The sequence below is a fragment of the Homo sapiens genome, chromosome 17 (genome assembly GCF_000001405.40).
Source record: "Homo sapiens chromosome 17, GRCh38.p14 Primary Assembly".
Taxonomy (NCBI): domain Eukaryota; kingdom Metazoa; phylum Chordata; class Mammalia; order Primates; family Hominidae; genus Homo; species Homo sapiens.
In genome coordinates, this window is record NC_000017.11 from 18,623,971 (window position 1) to 18,644,813 (window position 20,843).

Consider the following 20,843-nt stretch of genomic DNA (forward strand, 5'->3'; position numbering starts at 1 on the left):
ATCACCTGACCTCGTGATCCGCCCACCTTAGCCTCCCAAATTGCTGGGATTACAGGCATGAGCCACTGCACCCTGCCAAAGCTCTCATTTTATACATGGATATTCATGAGTCATGGATGAGACTTGGCTCTGTTAAATCCAGCTAACATACTTGAGACTCAGAATTCTGGTGAGGGCTTCCTGTCACAAATCTGGGAAACGATAATATGGGACATTCCACGATCTAAGAAAAGGGTCCGGCCGGGCGCGGTGGCTCACGCCTGTAATCCCAGCACTTTGGGAGGCCGAGGCGGGCGGATCACGAGGTCAGGAGATCGAGACCATCCCGGCTAAAACGGTGAAACCCCGTCTCTACTAAAAATACAAAAAATTAGCCGGGCGTAGTGGCGGGCGCCTGTAGTCCCAGCTACTCGGGAGGCTGAGGCAGGAGAATGGCGTGAACCCGGGAGGCGGAGCTTGCAGTGAGCCGAGATCCCGCCACTGCACTCCAGCCTGGGCGACAGAGCGAGACTCCGTCTCAAAAAAAAAAAAAAAAAAAAAAAGAAAAGAGTCCTCAGCATACAGATCTGGTAGCAATGAAAAAAGGAAACTCATCTCTTTCTGCAACATTATTTGAACTGAACCCCGAGGGCCTAAAGGATAATTTATCATGAAGGTCTTAGCTAAGTCTAGGCTGAGACAAAAGCATAACAGGCGGGGTTTCACCATGTTGGTCAGGCTGGTCTCGAACTTCTGACCTCGTGATCTGCCCTCCTCGGCCTCCCAAAGTGCTGGGATTACAGGCATGAGCCACCGAGCCCGGCCAACATGAAGTTCTTAAGGGTGGAAGGAACCTGAGCGACAGTAGAATATGTCTGCTGTATAATATGTATTCAGCTTATGTTTGATGAATAAATTGAGAAAATGGATAAACACAGTTGGGAAGTGCAATATTTTTAAAGAAAACTCCTGTAAAGTAGACCAACACTTTTGCAATAGTAATAATCCTTTATATTTGATCCCGTCTCACTAAGAGGCCTGGGCCCCTGACCCCTCTGACGTTTCCCCATCCCGGGTGCCATGGGGCCTCCGGGCACCAGAAAGCCAGTGTCCCCGACAGGACGGCGCACCCGCATCCTTCACCTGGCCATTACCTCTTCTTCCTATCCCTCTTGTCCACGCCAGTGTCTCCAGGAGCCAAGACGTGCTCCACCCCAGGGACGTCGCCCGACCGGGCAGCTCTGTGGAGCTCGCCAAGATCTTCCAGGCGGACGTCGTGCTGGGGCTGGTCTAAGGCGCCCTCACCGTGCTTGCTCTCGCTGCCGACGCTATTTTTCCACCAGCTGTAGGAGAAGCCCGAAGACCACTGGTCCCCCGGGTAGCCCAAGTACCACTGGTCCTCCTGGCTCCTGACGCTACGGGTCTTCCTCGTGGCGTAGACTGCCAGCTTCGGAGACCCCTCAGCCCCTCCCCGCTTTTCTCCACCCCAGGAGGCCATCAGTAGCGAGCTACTGCCTCGGCCACAACCTCCCAGCAGGATAGCCCGCGGTTTCCAATCTGCGAAAGGAGGACCGCCAAGCCAGAAATGCCAAGCCAAGCGATCACTGCCACGCCAAGCCAAGCGACCACCGCCAAGCCAAGCAGCCACCGCAAAGCCTCGCGGGTAAGGCCAAGCCAATCCGTTACAGACCAGTGCGCCTGCCCACCTGTGACGTCACGGAACCTGTGACTTCACTGCAACTGCAGCTCCAGCCTCCCAGAAAAAGACTCCTTGGCCTGCAGGTGGCGCTGCAGCTCCAGCCTCCCAGAAAAAGACTCCTTGGCCTGCAGGTGGCGCTGTAGCTCCAGCCTCCCAGAAAAAGACTCCTTGGCCTGCAGGTGGTGCTGCAGCTCCAGCGCCAACCTGGGCTGGCTGGTCCTCCCTCGGAGGTTTCGGGGTGGCGGCGCCTAGCCTGCCTGTCATGAGTGCTGTTTCACAGACTCTATCTCAAAAACAAAACCAAAAACAACAACAACAAAAAACGGTGTTGGAAGTTCTAGCTAGTGCAAAAAGGCACGTTAAAGAAATAAATGGCATGCAGATTGGAAAGGAAGACATAAAACTGCCTTTATTTGCAGATGACATGATTGCTTAGAAAATCCCAAAGTGTTTGTTTACATGCAGGTTTAGCTAAGTCTCAGGATACAAAGTCAGCATACAAACGTCAATTGCTGTCCCATATACCGATTGAACAATTGGATTTGGTAATAAGAAAAACAATACCAATTGCGACAGCACCAAACAAAAAACAAAAAAAAAAACCCGAAAAAAAACCGACTAAGGTCTAAATCTAACCAGATATGTGCAGAAGGTAGAGCTGTCAGGGTGGTTGAGGGCATGGGCTCTGGAGCTGCCTGCCTGGCCTTGCCTCTTGCCTTTCCTGCTCATAAGCCATGTGTCTCAGTTTCCTCCTGCAGAGTGCATCCACCTCACAGGACCTCTGTGAGGGTCCAACAAGTCCATACATGAAAAATGCCCAGAATGGTAAACAGTAAATACATACAGTAAATATGAAAAAAATTGCATTCACATAATCAAGCACAAATTAGCTATTTAAGCACAGCTCATCAAGTTTACACTTGCAGAGTAGGCCCAGCCATGCCTCAGGAATTGCTGTGTGGTGACCTCCCTCCACAGGGACATGCAGCACCCAGTCCCGCAGCGGCTGTCCTGGTGGGCACGCTGGCACTCAGTGAGCAACACCCCTCACAGACTACATGGCCTTATAAAGACACAGCAGCCCTAGGGACACATGTTATGGCCATTTTTATGACAGCGATGTCACATATCATCCTTCACCTAATTCCTTTTCTGGGGAGTCACTCGCGCCTGCAATTGGGCTGGCTAAGATGCTCTCCTTACACGGTGGCTGAGGAAGAACACTTTCTAATAACTGGGGAAGACTATAGAGCTTCACTTTTAAAGATTTCATCATCTCACATCAGTCAGAACGGCTATTGATAAAAAGTCAAAAAATAACAGATGCTGACAAGGCTGTGGAGAAAAGGGAATACACTTTTGGTGGAAATGTAAATTAGTTCAGCTACTGTGGAAAGCAATCTGGAGATTTCTCAAAGAACTTAAAACAGAACTACCATTTGACTCAGCAATACCATTACTGGGTATATATCCAGAAGAAAAGAAATCGTTCTACCAAAAACACATGCACACTTATGTTCATCACAGTGCTAGTCACAATAGCAAAGACATGAAATCAACCTAGGTGTCCATCAATAGTAGACTGGATAAAGGGCCGGGCGCGGTGGCTCATGCCTGTAATCCCAGCCCTTTGGGAGGCAGAGGCGAGTGTATCACCTGAGGTCAGGAGTTCGAGACCAGCCTGGTCAACAGGGTGAAACCCCGTCTCTACTAAAAAACTACAAAAAATTAGCTGGGTGTGGTGGCGTGTGCCAGTAATCCCGGCTACTCGGGAGGCTGAGGCAGGAGAATCTCTTGAAACCAGAAGGCGGAGGTTGCAGTGTGCTGAGATCGTGCCACTGTACTCCAGCCTGGGCAATAAGAGCAAAACTCCATCTCAAAAAAAAAAAAAGAATACAGAGATCTGACATTCCTTTGAGCCACCACTCCAAAATGGTTTCTCACCTACTCACTCCAACAAAATTGCTCTTATCAAAGCACAAACCATGTTCACATTGTTAAATTATTAATTAAAGCATAATTCCCCAGCCTTTGTCTTAATTTATGTATCAGCAGCATTTGACACAGTCAATCTCTCCCTCGTTTTTGCAAAACTTCTTTGATAGAATTCCAGAACACTTAACCTACTTTCCCCAACATTTTTGATAATTACTCCTAGTCATTTTTTGCTGGTTTCTTCTCATCTTTACTACTTTTTTAATGTTAGAGAACCACTAGGCTCAGGACTTGGACTTATCTTTCTTATCTTTGCTTTCTTACTAATTTTTATGCTTTAATTCCCTGATATTTCATATTACACCTCAACATTAGACTACACCCAACACCGTCTGACTTCTTCACTTGGGTATCATTTAGGAATCTCAAAATGAATGTCCACATGGAGCCACCAGTACTCCCCAAACTTGGTCTTCCGCTTTCTGTTTAGCGGCAACTCCCATTTTATAATTTCTCAGCTGAATATTCTTGATGTCCCCTTTTAGTTCTCTCTATATCTGTCTGGTTTTCATTCCCTCTCTATCTCTCCATCACATACACACACACACATTTTCAGATCTGACGTGTATGGAAAAACTACCAGCTTTACCTTTAAAGTGCAATAATTCCAAATGGTGTTTTCAAATTCACCTTCCCTCCCTCACCACTTATACTTCCTTCACAAGGTCAGTACTTCCCTCACAAGGTCAAAATCTCTACTGCAGAGATTTATTGGGGAGATAATGAGAACTATTATACATTCCTTTTTTTTTTGAGATGGAGTCTCACTGTTGCCCAGGCTGGAGTGCAGAGTGGTATAATCTCGGCTCTCTGCAACCTCTGCCTCCTGGGTTCAAGCAATTCTCCTGCCTCAGCCTCCCTAGTAGCTGGGATTACAGGCACGTGCCACCACACTTGGCTCATTTTTGTATTTTTAGTAGGGACAGTGTTTCATCATGTTGGCCAGGCTGGTCTGACCAACATAATGAAACACTGTCCCTACTAAAAATACAAAATTAGCCAGGTGTGGTGGCGGGCACCTGTAATCCCAGCTACTTGGGAGGCTGAGGCAGGAGAGTTGCTTGAACCCAGGAGGCGGAGGTTGTGGTGAGCCGATATCGCGCCATTGCACTCTAGGCAGGGCAAAAAGAGCAAAACTCCGTCTCAAAAAAAAAAAATGACTTTTTGATACATGTATTAAATGTAAGCGAATAACAGCATAAAAAATGAACTTTTGGGGGGATATTATGGGATGCAAACAAGTACTGAGAGCAGTATGAGGAATAAAACTCTCATCCTGGCTTGGTGTGGGCAGAATCTCACAGTCTGAGAACAGCCCCAGTAAGCGGCAGTGGTAGGGCCCCTCCGTATAAAAACTGTTCTCAAATTGAAGTCTCAGTAAAAAAAAATATAAATAAATAAAAAATAAATAAATACTACCAAACCTCAACACAAAATGATTGATTCATCATTTGATATACGCTGTGACCTTATAACATGTACAATTGTGTTATCATTCTATAAGGTTTATCATTTGTTAATTTTAAAACCAGAATAATTTCAAACTTGAAATAAGTCCCTTGAAGAAATAAATTTCAAAATGCAACCCCCTATCTATCTATATCTTTATCAACTATATCTGTGTTAGGCCATTTTTTGTATTGCAAAAGCAAAGGCATCCTTCTACACATTCTAAATTTTATAGAATCACACAAATATTGACACAATGGTGATAGGCGAAGGTAGACATTAATATTATTTGGAAAACAGTTTCATTTATACTATTATGAGCAAATTATTAGAATTGGTCTAGAGAAATATGAAGTCACCTAGGGAATGATTGTATACACAGTGCTTTTCACTGATGAAACCATCTCATAATTTCTGTTGTATATTTTTACTACAATGATAAATTATTGGTTTGAGTTTCGATGTGTTCATTAAATACATTAAATATAGGTTAATGTTACTGCCTTTTGCCAGGTTATACAAATTGTTTCCATTTTGCGTTTGTTTTGTTTCTCACTTTTATTGTTCTAATAGGAATTTATTTTAGGTAAACACAAGTATTTCATTAGAGAAATTTTGACATGTCCCAGGTTTGTTTTTTTTGAGACGGAGTTTTGCTCTTCTCCCCCAGGCTAGAGTGCAATGGCGCAATCTTGGCTCATGGCAACCTCCACCTCTCAGGTTCAAGCCATTCTCCTGCCTCAGCCTCCCGAATAGCTGGGATTACAGGCATGAGCCACCGTGCCTGGATGACATGTCCCAGGTTTGTCTGATCTACAAAACATACACATAAAATCAGAGGAAAGAAAATGTGCAATTGATGTCACACATCAGGGATACCAATAAGGGTCACAGTGACATATTTTACCTCCAATTTGTGGGCAAAGGTGCCAGTAAATTCTGATAAGAGGCAGCAATACTTTGTCTACATTCCTATTAAAAATCATTAAGTTATTTTAAAAGCTGGGAAATGGCATGGTTGGGAGGATGTGTAATACAAAACTGTAACTCATGAAAATTAGCTATAAATCTAGGCTATGACAGGAGCAGCAAGAGTAGATGTAGCTTTTTTAAAAACTGTACTTGAAAATTATTTCATCATCATCTATAGCTCCTTTAAAATAATATTTAGTTGGCATATGTCTTAATAAAGGGCAGAAGTACAGTCAAAATATTTTTTATATAAGGTAATATATGTTAATACATATGGTTTATTCTTGTTCATTTTGTTTCAGGCTGTCTCAGAATTGTGAAATAGGTAAGTGAATGATAGAAATATTCTCATAGTTAAAACTTAGAATGATTATCCCTTCAAAAGGTAGAATATTACCTTACTTTCGGTTTCAAAGGTAAAGATAATATATCCATATACACTTGAATTTTACTTTGAAGAGTAGGGACCAATATGTCTCCACACATATTTTATTAATCATGGGCATTTTGCCAGACTGATGGGATGCATCTGGTAAATTCACTCTGTGTGTGTAAGTGTGTGTGTGTGTGTCACTGATTTACCACATGTAATGATTAAATGATACATGTAATTACATTATTTATTTATGGTATTTGAAAAGAAAGTACTACTAAGGTAATTATTGACTTTCCTAATATCAGACCACTTATGCTCAGAGCAGGACACAGAACTTACAAATAATGCCTATTTTGTAACCCAGTATTTCCTTCTCAAATTTTGAATAACAATTTGAATAATTTAAATGATATTTTAAATCCTCATTTTAATGTAACCCTTTAATAAACAAAGAGGTAATGATAGGCCGGGCATGGTTGCTCACACCTGTAAACCCAGCACATTGGGAGGCCAAGGTGGCAGATCACCTGAGGTCACGAGTTTGAGACCAGCCTGGCCAACATGGCAAAACCCCATCTCTACTAAAAATACAAAAATTAGGTAGGCGTGGTGGTGGGCGCCTGTAATCCCAGCTACTCGGGAGGCTGAGGCAGGAGAATTGCTTGAACCCAGGAGGTGGAGGTTGTAGTGAGTTGAGATCGTGCCACTGCACTCCAACCGGGTGACAGAGCGAGACTGTGTCTCAAAAAAAAAAAAAAAGTGATGATATAAATATTTTGTATTATTTAAAATAGTTCTTTTAAAATTTCCCCTTCACATTAAATGCAAACATAAACATTTTTGTAAAAATGAAAACATTGCAAATAATTCAAAGATCATTTTATCTTCTATTCCAAGTGTTGCTCTTCTTACCAAAAGTAACTGTTTCCAGCATGATTTCACCTCTGAGCTCATGCTCTTAACCACCTTATTATCCTGACTTTATGCTTTATAAAACATGATGTGGTATGCTGTATGCATTACTTCAGTTGCCTAATTTAAAATTATAGAGGGTGGGGGACGATGGCTCACATTTGTAATCCCGGCACTTTTGGAGGCCAAGGTGGGCAGATCTCTTGAGCTCAGGAATTGGAGATCAGCCTGGACACCATGGCGAAACCCTGTCTCTATAAAACAATCTAAAAATTAGCCGGGCTTGGTGGCACCCAGCCGTAGTCCCAACTCCTTGGGAGGCTGAGATGGGAGTATCACTGCAACCTGAAAGGTTGAGGCTGCAGTGAGCCCTGTTAGGACCAATGCACTCCAGCCTGGGTGCCAGAGTGGGACCATGTCTTAAAAAAATAAAATAATATGAAGTAGGTCTTCCTAGTGTTATCATTTTAAAGATAATAAAATCAACATATAGAGATCATAAAAAAAACACAAGATTATGTAATCCCAGCTACTCGGGAGGCTGAGGCAGGAGAATCACCTGAACCCGGGAGGCAGAGGTTGCCGTGAACCAAGATCACGCCATTGCACTCCAGCCTGGGTGACAGAGCCAGACTCTGTCCAAAAAAAAAAAGCAAAAAACAAACAAAAAACCCCACAAGATTATTTACTGGACTACATCGAAGAGTTCAAGGAAAACTGCTAAGTTACTGATTTTGTCACTAGTTTTCTTTTTTCTTTACTTTTTTATTTTTGAGACAGCATCTCACTCTGTCATCCAGGCTGGAGTGCAGTGGCGTGATCTCAACTCACTGCAACCTCTGCCTCCCAGGTTCAAGGGATTCTCCTGCCTCAGCCTCCAGAGTAGCTGGGATTACAGGTGGACACCATCAGGCCCGGCTAATTTTTGTATTTTTAGTAGAAACGGAGTTTCACCATGTTGGTCAAGTGGGTCTCGAACTCCTGACCTCGTGATCCACCCACCTCAGCCTCCCAAAGTGCTGGGATTACAGCCACCAGGCCTGGCCTGTCACTACTTTTCTGTAATGTTTGGCATAATATCCACCTTGACTTATGTTAGGGTAAAAAATGAGGGATAATTCAAAAGTGTAGAGAGATGAAGTAGCAGGCCCCATGCTTTGACATTAAGAAGAATGGGGTTAAGTGTGAGGCTTCTGTGAGTTGTCTGATCTATCCAGATACCAGTGATAATGACCTAGAGGTACGTTGTCCAATAGCCACACATGGCTACTACATTTAAATTTAAATTAATTACAATAATATAAAAATTTGGTTAGTCACACTAGCTACCTTTCAACTTCTCAAAAGCCACATGTGGGTAGTGGTTAGCACATTTCGTAGCATAGAGAACATTTCCAACATCACAAAAAGCATTGGTGAATGCTTGTCTGGACACTTAAGCACACACAGAAATGTCAAATTGGGTTAAGATGCTATCAAAAGCTAATGCTTGGACTTGCCATTAGACAAATACACGTTATCAATGCCCTGCTGATATGAGAACTGAGAATAAAATGTGTGTTCCGGGTGGACTGTAATTAAACAGTTGAATGCCTGACTACAAACATTTAAATCTAAGTTCATGTATTTGGTGATTTGGACCTGGAATGTATCCTTAGTTGGGTTGAAGATGGAAAACATTCTTCTCTTTCTGACCAACTTATTAAAGATGTTTGAATGATAGCATTACATATATTATGCAAAATCTTTCTCAAATGTCACAAGATATATATAGTATAGGAAGCAACTACTATATGACTTTATTAGCATTTTCACTGCTTAATAAATGCATTTTGTATTACAAAATTAATAAGTACCCATACTATAATTAGGGTATTCCTCCAAAATATTATAAATAATAACACTAAACAACTACGGAAATGGAAAGAAAGGGTCAGCAGTGTGTGTTATGGCATGAACATTTGTTTCCCCCAGAATTTATGTGCTGAAGATCTAACTCTCAGTGTGATGGGATTTGGAAATAGGGCCTTTGAAGGTAATTAGGTTTACATGAGGTCATGAGAGTGGGGTCCTTATGATGGAATTAATGCCCTTATAAGAAGAGGACAGAAAGCCTGCTCAAGAACCAAATCAGCCATTGTCTTGGTCACAGACTTCCCAGCCTCCAGGGCTGTGAAAAATAAATGTCTGTTGTTGAAAGCACTGTTTATAGTATTTTGTTATAACAGCCTGAGCAGACTAATACAGCATGTAAATACTATATAATGACAACAGAATAAACAATGTGGCTATAAAACAGATAACAAAAGAATCTGGGACCATTACATGCTAAAGTCTGTTACAACTAAATAAAAAAATTAAAAAATTAAAAATGCACTTTCATTATGTCAAAAGCAGGTGGAAAAAATAAACAATTATTTAAGAGTGTTTGTGTCCAAGCACATAGTATAAAATCTCTACACATCATTAAATCTTTGTAATAAAGTAGTTTTATGCCCATCTGTCATAAATAAATGAATAAATTATAAACAATTGAAGCTTAGGGAAAATTATCAGCATTCCAGTTTATAATTAGTAGGTCTAGAATTAGGAAAATAATCCTAAATATGGTATAAGTGACTGAAGTATATTTAATAGAAAAATACATTAAAATACTGAAGACAAAGAATGTTGCTCCATAAGCTCATAACGCAGCAATAATCAATTTACATAAATTATTCCAAATATTAATGAACATGGAGAAATCAGTGAATAACACACTGAAAAATGAATGCCTAGGAGATGAAGTAAAACTTCGGTCTTTTTGGAATATTTAATAAATTCCTGCTTTAAACTAATGATAAAAAAAAAAGGCAATTCCAAATATGACAAACGAAAAGAGACATACAAAGAGATATACGAGACTTTTTTTATTTCACAAAATGGTACATGTTAACTCTTAAGTTGGAAAACACGGATCACTAAGTGATTTTGCGAAACAAACAACAAAATCATTAACACAGAAGTGATACCAAAAATGCAAAGGAGTCTTCCCACCTCTGCACAAAACAACAAAAGCACAAAAGTTGTTAGGCTGAGACATTTCAAAGTAAATTATTTTATTACCTCAAGAAAAAGATCATATAAAAGCTATCAGTTCCAGGAAAGTTTCCAAAATGTTTAATCAAGTCAGCATAAAAATGATACCAAAATCTAGGAGAAAACGCGTAATAAAACAAAATGCTGCAAAACACAGTTCATCCTCAGTTATATCAGTAAAATATCCTAAATAAAATACTTGCCAATAGAATGCAAAAACAGAGACAGAGTAAGAAAGGACACCGAGCAGGAGCCCACGAGGTTCACAGTAAGAAAACAGCCCAGAGAGAAAGCAGCCCGAGGGATTCGGCCACGTGACGTGCGGTGGACCCTGCGGCAGGGACCGGCCAGGCTGCCCGCCCCTCAGCCCCTCAGCCCCTCAGCCGCCTCAGCCCCTCAGCCCCTCAGCCTCCTCAGCCCCTCAGCCGCCTCAGCCGCCTCAGCCCCTCAGCCCCTCAGCCGCCCACGCCTCTGCTCGCTCACCCGCCCGGCTGCCTTAGGGGTCGGCGCTGCCCAGCGGGCTCCAGCGCAGCCTCCTACCCGGCATCCCACCGGCCGCGCCTGCCACTGACTCCTGGCCGCCCGCTACTACTCGCGCGCGGTGGGCAGGGCCAGTCCGGGGGAGCGGACCCCGAGAGGCGCCGCGGGATGGCAGGCGGTGTCTTCCAAACCCAAGCCTCCGAGAGCCGCAGCCGGGCTCGGGCCGCTGACCGACCCGGAGGCCCCACTCTGTCCCAGCCAAGGCCTCCCGGAGCCATCACCCACCAGGAGTCCCGGGCGGGGGCACCACCTGCTCCACGCTGTCGCGGGCTTCTGCGAGGCCATGATCCGTGCCCAACGCCAGCAAAGGGCAGCTTGTGCCCGAGAGTGGGGGAAATGCATCCTTCCCGGGGATCTGAAAACTCCAGGTCCTCCTGCCAGGAGCCCACGGCCTCAGATGGGGCCCAGGAAGCGCCCGCGCTGGGGAAGCGCCCCCTGCACCTGAGCCCGAAATTGTCCCTAACAAACCCAACACCCGCAGGGCTGACGTTTGGACTCCGGGGTGCGGTGTCGATGAAATGGGCACCGCGTGCTTTCCATGCAAAAGACACGAAGTCTGGAGTTTATGGAATTATTGAAGGAAAGCCGCGCCAGTGCCAAGAGATCATGGCCCAGAGCTGGCAGAACTGATCAGACCAATGCTGAGCAAAAGGCCTGAAGAAGACCATCTGGAGGAGCATCCCGAGGGCTTTCCCCAAAGCACCAGATCGCCTTCCTTTCCGAGGCCACAAAGGCGAGAACCTCCAGAAATAGCATGAAACACGGTGACTTGGTGACATCCAAGCCTGCTGCCACCGTGGTTTCCGGGAAGGCAGAATCAAGGCATGAAGTAATCCACGCCAACCACGCTCCTCTGAGGGCTGAGCAAGACATCGATAGTGGGTGAAGGCAAGTGTTTGTCCCAGGAGAGGCCCAGGATGGTTGCTCCCTTGAAGTCACCCGCCAGTCTGAAGGCCCAGGGGACTTGAGCAATACCAAGAACTGGCCACGGTCCTGCAACAGCCCAAGGGCTGCCTGCCGAACATAAGGGGTGGCTGGGTCCTCCATGTGGGCAGCTCATGCAGTCAGCTCAGCAGCTCTCCCTGCCTGGAATGGTCTGGAAAGTGGGGGCCAAGCAGGAAGAGCCACCTGGGTGACCCCCCTCCCTATCTGCTATGCTCCTGTGGGGATCAGGCAAAGGGGAAATTGGATCCTTGCCAGGTTTCCAGTGAAGAAGAGGCTCCCCCAGGATGCAAACTCATTTCATGACAAGTGCCTGGCCCATCAGGCACCTCAGCAACTTGTCAAACCTGTCTCCTACAAGGACCATCCTGTGTGGGACCCTGCCAAGCTCCTAGGCTTTGGGGCAACACCAGGAGGGGAAGGTCATTTCTTCATCTGAGATGTGGTGATTGGGTCCATGTGAGACCAGGAGTCTGGGCTTCAACCCTTTTCTGCCAGCAGCGAGCTGAAGTCCTGCCTACTACGTCCTGGTGGACAAACGCTGAATTTTCAAGAAGTTGCAACACCCCCGAGAGACACCCATGCCTGTGAATATGGGCACAGGTACCAGGAATATCGCTGCCCGGGAATACTCACAGGGTTATATGCAGAATAGGCCACGAGGATGTCACATAATTCCTGCTGCCTAGAAAAGAGGGGAAAGAGGGTTTTGTTTTTTTTGTGCAGACGCTGTCAATTTCATTTTGTCTACAAACCCAAATAACGAACACAATTCTGGGTTCAGATGATCCCCCCAAATAAGCAGTGAGCTCTTTAGGACACCTGAGTTTTTAGGAATTTTTTTTCAGTAAAATCCACATTCCTTGCAATGCAATGTCGTAGGTGTACAGTTGGATCAGTGATCATTTTTCACTCTGGTTGATTTTTTCTTCCCCTTTTTCTCAGTTTGCACACACAGAAGTCCAGTCTTTGGGACGTGCAGTTCCACGATTCTGAACTAATGTGCAGAGCCTCCCGTCCACCACTGCAGCCCCTCCCAGAGCGGCTCCTTCATCTTCCAAGTCCCTAGCATGTCCCCTTTGCAGGCAACGTCTCCCGGCTCTGTCAGCCCCTGGCCATCCTGATCTGTTCTTTGTCTCTATGGTTTGCCCTTTCCCAGAATGGCCAATGAATTGGAATCCCATGGTGGTAGCCTGTTGGGTCTGGCGTCATTCCCTCAGCAATACTCATCTAAGATCCACCCATGTTCCTGCAGGCATTAGGGGTTCGTTCCTTTTCCTCACTGAGTCGCCTCTGTCTGAAGAGTGGAACCCCCTTCCTCCCGAGTTCCCATGTTGAAGATCATCTCCGTAGCCTCCGGGTGTGAGTTACAACCAATCAAGCGGTGAACGTCACATGCGGGTTTTACTTGGACGTCAGTTTTCAAATCAGTGTGGCCAATATCTGTCACACTTTGGGGATGTGTGGTACGAGGCCACTGAGCTTTGTGAGCCACAGCCCATGTGACTTACAAAATGGCTGTGCCCTGTCACGTTCCCACCAGCCATGGATGAGAGTTTCCGGGGCCCCGCATCCTTTCTAGTATTTTGGGCAGTCAGTGTTGCCTGGGAAGGCTCCCAAGCCCTGCCATCGTGCCACCTTCCCATGGGTCCCTATCCTGGATAGTTGTGGGTCATGGAGAGCACTTTTCACCATCTGCATGACTCTTTTTTTTTCTGCCTTCCGTCTCCTTGGGAGTCACCTGGGTTCTGGCCCTACATGTCCCAGCCCGGCCCAGGGCTTAGAGCCGGGAGGTGCTCAGTCCATGGTGCCGGCTGCTCCCTGGGCCAGGAGAGCCCTTGGTGGCTCTGTCACCTCTCCTGGGTGACCCTGGCCTCTGCCCTGGGGACAACCTCATTCCTCTGGATTGCCCCATCTTCTCTGGGACCCCTGCAAGCCCCATTGGCCTTACTTGACTCCGAATCTTTGTATGAACATCATGTGTTTCTGCAGGGTGTGGCTGACATCTAGCTGGATGCAGTGGATGATTCTGGAGGACCTCTTGCCCTTCTCCTTCATGACCTGTAGGGCGGGGCCAAGAGGAGGAAGCAGCCTCAGAACAGACAAAAGACTCCCTGCCCCAAACGGCAGTCATCCCACAGTCAGCACTTCTGGAAGGAAGGAAGGAAGGAAGGTTTCCTTCTGCAGAAAGCTCCTTTTTGCCTTGTTTCTGACGCCAGGGAGGGTCAGCAGAGCCCAGCGCACCTGTGGTGCCTGAGTTACCATCTATGCCCAGGATGTGCATCTGACCACAGCCCCCACCCCCAACCCAGGCTCAACGTTCCCTCCAGCTGGAGTCCTGGGATCCTGATACAGTCTAGCTTGTTTGTACTGCCCTAGCTGAGTGTGGGAGGGACTTACCTTATATTTGCCTGGGTTCTGGGACTTGATTTTGTCAATATCTAGCAAAAGTGACAACGCCCGGCCCCGCACCGCCAGGGGAATGACTTTGCATACTCTTTGAGACAGCTACAGACAGAAGAACACTCCAGTGAGAAAGGACATGGGGCAACCCCGCAGAGGAAAGCTGGCGAACAGGCCTGCAGTCCTATGGCAAGGATGGGGTACCACCCACCCACTGAGAGGCACCCACCCAGGCCAAAACCATGGGCGCCTGTCTCCTGGCTCTGCAGAGAGCAGTCACGGGGGCCGCTTCCTCCCCATGTTACCTTCTTGGTGCTCCTATATTTTGTCCAGTCTGCAAGCATCTTTTGCCACTTGTTGGTACGTTTACTTTCCTTGCGTCTTTGCTGTCAAATGAGCCATGATGGAGTTAGCGGAGCTGTCAGTCGTCTGACAGTGGCCCGTGGATGCTGGGTCCAGGGCTTTGGGGCCCTGAAGGGACCCAACCTGAAGAAGCCAGGAAAGGGCAGGCCCCAGGGGCTGAGACCCTCTGAAGGAACTGGAGCTGGTAGTCTGGACTGGTGATGCCAGGACATGCCATCCTCAGGCCATAGAGGCCCCAAGTTTTGGTCAGGTCCAGCCTTCAGCTGGGGTCTTGGTTCAAACAGGCAGTGGACTCTGAGCCAGGACTACAGTTCTTGGTTTGGGTTTTGGTCAAGCCCTCATGGGAACAGAGTCCAGCAGGAAAGGCCACCCCTCCCAGTGACAGCCGTGGCCCACTCACCACCACACAGGCCCACAGGCCACCCCCTCTGCCTTACCGATCACCCGATTCCCAGTCCCTGAAGCAGCCTCCCACGCAGCAGGCACAGGCTCTTACCTTCACCTCCAGGGCACTGACGCGGGGCAGCTCCATCTCACTGTAAGGCAACCCAGGCAGAGCTGAGGACCTGCCCAGGCCAGGAGCCATCCCTCTCCCTGAGAGGGCCCCAGGGAAGGACCAGCCTACCCCCATCCACCCTAAGTCTCAGCCTGGGACAAGGCACAGAGAAGGAAGGCAAGGGCCTCCCTGCGGATCTGACACTAGCAAGGCACTGGGACCTTGGTGAAGAAGAAGCTCAAAGCTGGCCCTGGGTGGGGGGGACACTTGAAGCCCGTGGGGTGCCTTGGGCTGCACAACGGTGCTGCTCCACCTGGGCTGGAGGTGACACCCTCTGTGGACGCTAAGAAAGTCCAGTTCTGAGATGGGATGGGTGCCACCCAGGGTGGGTGGCCAAGCCCTGACTAACAGCAGTACCTCAGGAGTGACCACATCACCCACCAGAGTCCAGGGAGCCTGGCCTGAGAGCTGCCCAGTGCCCTGAGGATGCACCTGGAGCCCATCCCATCTGACACTCCCCATGGGCCTTGCAAGGTCTGACCTCCCAGCGTGCACCTGCCTCTCCCTGCATCCTGGCCGCTCACCCTGCCTGCTCCCCATCTTCCCCCATCCTGCCCAGCCCAGACACTATGACCCTCTCTCCGGCCACTCTGGCCCTTCTGTGACCCTTGTCCTTTCAGAACCTCTGAGTGAGACCTCCCAGATCCGTCCACACCCACGCCTTGGCCACTCTCTGACTGGGCTGCCCAGCACTGCTGGGGAGACACTCAGGGCAGCAAGGATGACCAAGGGCCCTGCAGGCAGTGGGGCTGGCCCCAGCACTCCTGCTCCAGCCTCAGCTGGCTCTCAGGGTCATTGGCCTTCAGCCCTCAGCCTCCTCCCAGCCACTGCAAAAACCAGGACATGGGATGCTTGGCTGTCCTCCCCTACTGTCCTGCCTGCCCTGACTTGGCCCCTCCATCCACCCTGCGCAGTGCTGACTGAGCCAGCGGGAAGCAGAATCTCTGGAGGGCCATGCAGAGCCTTGGGGACTGACCAAGTTCCCCCACTGAGGGGTCCCAGGTGAGCCACTGTTCCCTGCCCACCCCATCTGTTGTCCTCCCCAGGCTGTCAGCTCCACCCGGGTCTGGCTTGGTTCAGGTGCCTTCCAGAAGTGGCAGGTCTCAGGGGCTCACCCTGCCCCCCTCCCCCAGGCTCCTCCCTCTCTCCATCCTGTGAGTCATGAGGGGCCGGCTTCAGGCTGGGCTCCCATTACCAGGCCCAGGTCCCTTCCCTGCACCACTCCCGGGGCCTTCAGTTGCATGCTCTGTTGTCCCCCTGGCCTCAGTGAGAAGCCCAGGCCAGGGCCCTGCCCTTCTTCTTCCACAACCTACCAGGGCCAGGGCCAAGGCCCTCACTGTCCCTATGCCCCTTCCTCATGGCTGAGCCCCCTGAGCCCTCAGAGATCTGCTATACAACTGCCCAGAGGCCAGGCCAGGTGCCCTCTTGCCCTGTGGCCACAACCCTCAGATCTCACCAAGGCAGGCCCCAAGGGAACAGGGCCAGATCCTCAGGCTGCCCCTCCTCTCCAGCTTACTTGGAGACCACAGTGCTGAGAGCCCACGGGCCTGCTCTGGTCCCCTCTCTGTCCCTACCCCCTCTCCTGAGCTCCCTAAATGTGTCATGAGGCTGTGCCCTAACCCTGACCACAGGCTGGACCGACAGGAGAGCCTGGGAGGAGTTCTGACCCTGGAGAGGAGGTTGGCCCAGCCAGGGAGACATGTCCTGCTTCAGAGAGGCCTTTCTAAAAACAAAACCCATCCCTGAGGTGAGATTGGTGGCTGGGGTCGGGGGGACAGAGGACTTACTGCACAATCCCGAGGTTATTGGTGTATTTTCTGACATCAACCTGCTCATGCCCCAAGTCCACTGCTGCCCCAGCTCGGTGTCCCTGAAACCCAGAGGAGGCCAGGATAGTGGGGGTAAGGTGAGAGGTGTGGGAGGCCCAGGGAGGTGGGCAGCCCCTCCCCACCCTGTGATCTTAGGAAGCCCAGGACCCTGTGACCAGGGCACAGCGGGAGAGGCGAGGCCCTGCTTCCCTTGAGGGAGCGGCCCAACTTGTACCTGCTCATACTTAGTAATGATGATATTGCCTTGCCCCTGGGCAGGCAGGTTATCCGGGTCCTCATCCATCTCCATCCTGCAAGACAAAGTCATCCCAAGGCTCTCCCGCACCCAAGAGCTCCAGAGAACAGCCAAACCACACGCACTGCACTCCCAGACACACTCCAGTCTGGTGAGCCCCATTCCACTACCCCTCCCAGATGACAAGGGGCCAGACTCAGTGGCCCCACCCCTGACTGGATCTCTGAAGTCCTGACCTCCAACCAGTGGTGGGCTCCTTCTTGAGGATTTGAGCACACGGGGACCTGAACAGAGAGGCCTATTGTCCCCGAACACCCCAAGGCAGACACACACCTGCCCTGGCAGGACAAACGGCGTCCACTTGCTGAGGGTGAAGTCCCCACGATGGGCTGTTCTGGGCACCTGGAGGCAGGTGGAGTCAGGGACTGGATGTCTCTATAGGATGGTTCAGGGACCAGGAAGATAATCAGTTTTCCGTAGGAAGCAAGACATCTGGTGACTGCTCCGTTCTACCCCAATTCTCACTCACTCTGGCCAGTGAAGCCCCTTCAGGAACAACGCCAGCCAAGCAGTTTGGTTTGGGGAAAAGATGATCTGTTGACTCCAGAGCAGCCTCTGTGCTCATGGAGACCCCGTCGCAGGTCGAGGACGGTGGACACCACAATTCCCAGCTGTCAATACAGGAGGGGACTTTGTTTTCCTGGGTCACCAAGAAAGAACAAGAGAACGCTGGGGCCTTAGTCCTAGAGAACACCTGGGGGAACCGTCCCCCCCAGGAATACTCGGGGCAAACGGAAGGCAAGGCCTCTAGAGGACCAGACAGAGAGAATGGGACGCTGCAGGAGGGTTCCAGTCCCCAAGCCTCTTTGACCAGGAGAGACGATTGTCACCCTCCAGGCAGCCCTCCAGGGCTCCTTCATTTTCCACAACTGCCTGAGGGCAGAGGGCTCCCCACCCCACTCCTAGATGAAGGACCCCATGTGTCCAGTGGGTCCCACAGCAACCATCAGTGACCTCCTCCTGTGGGGACCAAGCTTAGGGCACAGACTTGGACCAAGAATTTCACCCTCCACCCCACCCACAGGGGCTCTGTCCCAGTGGCTCTTCCAGGACCAGACCCTGCCTCATTGAATTCCAGAACTCAAGGAAGATTTGGAATCTAGGGTAGAGAGGCCTCAGCGGTCAAAGCTCAAGTCCAGCATGGCAAAGGGTAGGGCTGAGTGCACGGCCCGGGTCACATCTGGGTCTCTGGGCCAGTCACCGCCTCTCTGACTCTACACATCTCACCTGTGGAATGGCTACATTTGGGGACAGCACCCATCGCCACAGAGTCTCTGTGAGGACAAAGGAGAGGATGGTCCACGCCGTCAGTGCAGAACATGTACCCGGTGAGTGCTCAGGGGTGACCCTCGTCGGCATCTGCCCAGAGGTCACTCACCTGAGTCTGCTCAGGCTGCTGTGTCTCTCGCTTAGAAAAGTCGTTCATGCACCACAGAACCAGACACCTGTGTGCGTCTTATGTGCAAGTGCTGCACAACACAGAGGTGAGTGGGTGGGCAGGTGGGCGGTCACTCAGCACCAGTGACATTTTGAGGTCATGGCACCCATCATAATGGGCCATTGCCCAGGTCAAGAGGGCCCAGAGTCGGTGTCCTCCAGCCCCTAAGGTGTCAAAATGTGTTTGTGCAGGTGAGCATGTATGTTTATGTGGGTGAACATGTGTGTGCACGAGTAGCGTCTCTGGCCAGGGCTGGCTGTCCCACTTACATGTGCACCCAAGTGCTCATCAAGTCTTAATCAGCGTCACCTTCCCTTGAGGCCTGTGGCAAGCATCAGAGCATCCATGGGTCCTCCCCAACCTCAGAACTCCCCACACGGGGCAGTCCTGAAGATGCAGATGGGGGCTAGGGGTTAGAGGGCACAGGACAGGGCCCCTCATTAGGGGGAACTCAGCTAGACTGTAAAATGCTGGGTGTGAGTGGCAAGGTCGGATTCCACACATTTTTTCACCTCCTCCTCCCAGTAGCCTTCCAGGGTGCCATGACTCATTTCTGCTATGGACGGAGGCAAGGAGGCTCTAAGGACAAACCCCGTGCCTGAGGTCACCAAGCAACCATCTGGCCAGGCCCCCACTAACCAGACCCCTGCCGGCCAGGCTTTCACTGACCGTTTTCCCAGTGACCAGGCCTTCTGACTAGGTCCTCACTGATCAGGCCCCTGATGACCAGGCTCCAACTGACCATGTCCCCACTGACCAGTTTTTCACTGACTAAGCCCCAGTGGCCAAGCCTCTGCTGACCAGGCCCCTGATGACCAATTCCCCACTGACCATGTCCTCGCTGACCAGTCCCCCAGTGACCAGGCCTTCCTGACCAGGTCCCCACTGTCCAAGTCCTCCCTGCCCAGGCCCCAGAGCAGCAGTGTTCAAGGTCCTCTACCACAACTGCCCACAGGCAGAGGGCTCCCTACTCCCAGACAAGGGACCCCATGTGTCCAGTGGGTCCCACGGAGACCCTCAGTGACCGCACGTGAAGTCTGAGTTGGTGAGACCTCCTCCTGCGGACACCCAGCTTAGGGCACAGACTTGGACCGAGCACCACCTCCCTCCACCACACCCATAGGAGTTCCATCCCAGTAGCTCTTTCAGGGCCAGACTCTGCCCCATCAGGGGCCAGAAAACCCTGGGCAGATTTGGAATCTAGGGCCATAGAGACCAGGGCATGCACAGGGCAGGGCTGAGAGCACAGCCCAGGATCACATCTGGGTCTCTTGGCCAGTCACCTCCTCTCTGACCCTAGACATCTCACTTGTGGAATGGGTACATTCGGGGACAGCACCCACCCCACAGAGTCCACCAGGTCAGTGCAGAACAGGCACCTGGTGAGTGCTCAGGGATGACCCTCCTCGGCACCTGCCCAGAGGCTAGCCCTGCCCACCAGGTAATGACTGTACCCAGGTCAGCAGGGAAGGAACAGAGCAGGTCACACTCACCTGAGTCAGTTGAGTCAGTTGTGTCTCTCACTTAGCAAAACTTCCTTTTCTCAGAACCAGACACCTCTATGTCTTATCTCTAAGAGCTCCAGACATAGAGACGGCAAGCGGACAGGTGGGCGAGTGCTCAGCACCAGTGACATTGTGAGGTCATGACACCCATCACAATGGGCCCCTGCCTGGGTCAGCCGGGACCAGAGTCAGCACCCTCCACCCCTTGAAGTGTCAACGTGCGTGTGTGCAGTGTTTGTGCATGTGAGCATGCACGTGTATGTGGGTGAACACATGTGTGCATGCGTTTGTCACTGCTCTGGCTAGGCCCAGCTGCCCCACTCATATGTGCACCCAGGACACTGGGTCACCCTTGTCACTCTCTCCCCCCTCGGGACCCATGGCCATCATCAGAGCATCCACAGGTGCTCCCTAAACTCAGACCTCCCCATCCAGGGCATTCCTGGGATTGCAGATGGAAGATAGGGGGCAGAAGGTTGAGGGTTGGGGGCAAAAGGCAAAGGGCAGGTCCC

General features: G+C 49.8%; 1 protein-coding gene, 1 long non-coding RNA gene and 1 pseudogene across 13 annotated transcripts in view, besides 1 other annotated feature; 1 reads left to right on the forward strand and 2 right to left on the reverse strand.

Moving 5' to 3' along the window:
• Positions 1-1,647, reverse strand: part of CCDC144BP (coiled-coil domain containing 144B, pseudogene) — an 87,818-nt pseudogene extending 86,171 nt beyond the window's left edge. The window contains exon 1 of the transcript NR_036647.1: positions 1,134-1,647. The product of NR_036647.1 is annotated as a coiled-coil domain containing 144B, pseudogene (transcript). The remainder of the gene's footprint in view (positions 1-1,133) is intronic.
• Positions 1,706-2,000: an enhancer, noted in NCBI's record as "tiled region #6133; K562 Activating DNase unmatched - State 12:CtcfO". NCBI's record gives its function as "activates a minimal TATA promoter and a strong SV40 promoter by Sharpr-MPRA in K562 cells {active_cell/tissue: K562}" and the evidence as "EXISTENCE:reporter gene assay evidence [ECO:0000049][PMID:27701403]".
• TBC1D28 (TBC1 domain family member 28) lies at positions 10,277-20,421 on the reverse strand. Of its 11 annotated transcripts, none has more exons than XM_017024421.3 (11): positions 20,320-20,421; positions 18,616-18,662; positions 17,858-17,999; positions 17,662-17,763; positions 17,052-17,134; positions 15,205-15,244; positions 14,651-14,731; positions 14,343-14,450; positions 13,894-14,003; positions 12,579-12,627; positions 10,277-12,014 (listed from the first exon to the last, which is right to left on the reverse strand). In XM_017024421.3, exons 3-11 carry the CDS (start codon positions 17,951-17,953, stop codon positions 11,631-11,633), a joined length of 1,053 nt encoding a protein of 350 aa, XP_016879910.1. In that variant the 5' UTR covers positions 17,954-17,999; positions 18,616-18,662; positions 20,320-20,421; the 3' UTR covers positions 10,277-11,630. The 11 variants fall into 11 exon arrangements, with proteins under 11 accessions (XP_016879910.1, XP_016879906.1, XP_016879909.1 ...); XM_017024417.3 differs by having other exon boundaries at positions 17,858-18,028; XM_017024420.2 differs by lacking the exon at positions 20,320-20,421 and adding an exon at positions 18,767-20,313.
• LOC124903945 (uncharacterized) lies at positions 16,172-17,931 on the forward strand. Its single transcript, XR_007065655.1, has 3 exons — positions 16,172-16,266; positions 16,896-17,011; positions 17,809-17,931. It is a non-coding gene; the product is annotated as an uncharacterized LOC124903945 (long non-coding RNA).

Bases quoted from the DNA above. Each gene is read 5' to 3' on its own strand.
- TBC1D28 (XM_017024419.3), bottom strand. From the start codon at position 17,953: ATGAGCACAGAGGCTGCTCTGGAGTCAACAGATCATCTTTTCCCCAAA. The intron at 17,764-17,857 runs GTGAGTGAGAAT...ACCATCCTATAG, and splicing joins AAGGGGCTTCACTGGCCAGA to AGACATCCAGTCCCTGACTC. The intron at 12,628-13,893 runs GTAAGGCCAATG...CCTCTTTTCTAG, and splicing joins ATACAAAGATTCGGAGTCAA to GCAGCAGGAATTATGTGACA.